The sequence below is a fragment of the Homo sapiens genome, chromosome X (genome assembly GCF_000001405.40).
Source record: "Homo sapiens chromosome X, GRCh38.p14 Primary Assembly".
Classification (NCBI taxonomy): domain Eukaryota; kingdom Metazoa; phylum Chordata; class Mammalia; order Primates; family Hominidae; genus Homo; species Homo sapiens.
The window spans coordinates 100,768,207-100,769,302 of NC_000023.11; the positions used below are offsets into that span (position 1 = coordinate 100,768,207).

The following is a 1,096-nucleotide window of genomic DNA, read 5'->3' on the forward strand; positions in this document are numbered from 1 at the left end:
CTCTTTTTTTTCCCCCTCAAGGACTCCCATAATGCATATATTGTTACATTTGAGAGTGTCCCATAAGTCCTTTAGGCTCTGTTCAGTTTTATTCATTCTTTTGTTCTTTTGGCTCCTCTGTCTAGATAATTTCAATTTCCTGTCTTCAAGTTCACTGATTTGTTCTATCTGGTCAAATCTGCTGTTGGACTTCTATAGTGAGGTTTTCAATTCAGTTATTGTATTCTTCAGTTTCAGAATTTCTGTTTGGCTCTTCTTCATGGTTTTTATATCTGTTGATATTCTCATTTTGTTCATTTTCCTGATTTTATTTAGTTGTCTGTCTGTACTCTCTTTTAATTCACATTGAGCATCCTTATGGTGGTTATTTTTAAATTCTTCCTCTGGTAATTCACTTATCTTACTTCTTTAGGGACAGTTTCTGAATATTAACGTTCTTTTGTTGGGTCATGTTTCCTTGTTTCTTTGTATGCCTTGTTATCATCTGTTGGGACTTCATTCACGAAACAGCCACCTATTGCAGTCTTTGGAGTCTGGTTTCATACAGGGAGGACTTTCTCCAATTAGATCAACTAGAGTTCTGGAGACATATAAAGCTTTCTAAGGATCCTTCCTGTCTGGGCTTTTGTATGTTAAGCTCCCAGTTGAACTTTACTGGCTTCTACTCAGGAGCCCCACCTGGTGTCTATCTGTAGTACTGCAGCCTCGCTGGTGGTTTAATAAGACATAGCACTGGAGCGCCGCCTAGTGTCTATCTGTGATAATGCACTCTGGTGCACATTTAACTCTCTTTTTCTCAGCAGCCCCCAACCTGGCACCCCATTCTTATCAGTACTTAGCTTTAGCAAGACAGACACTAGTCCCATGGGAAGCCACCGCCCCCACTCCAGAAAAGTTAGAATGTTGGATATATTTTCCATTCTTCTTTCCCTACTCAGGGAGACTTTCCCAACTCAGGGAGTTGGGAGTTCTTTCCCAATCATGCCCGCTATTTTGGAAGAAAGGGCTCTGGCAAATGAATGTCGTGTTTTCTTTGTTACCACACTTCAATTTGGTTGGCTTCACACTAGCCTGTGATGCAGAAACTTATTTATTT

At 40.1% G+C, this 1,096-nt stretch overlaps 1 annotated feature.

Annotated features, from left to right (window-relative positions):
- Window positions 534-828: an enhancer, noted in NCBI's record as "tiled region #15282; K562 Activating DNase unmatched - State 12:CtcfO". NCBI's record gives its function as "activates a minimal TATA promoter and a strong SV40 promoter by Sharpr-MPRA in K562 cells {active_cell/tissue: K562}" and the evidence as "EXISTENCE:reporter gene assay evidence [ECO:0000049][PMID:27701403]".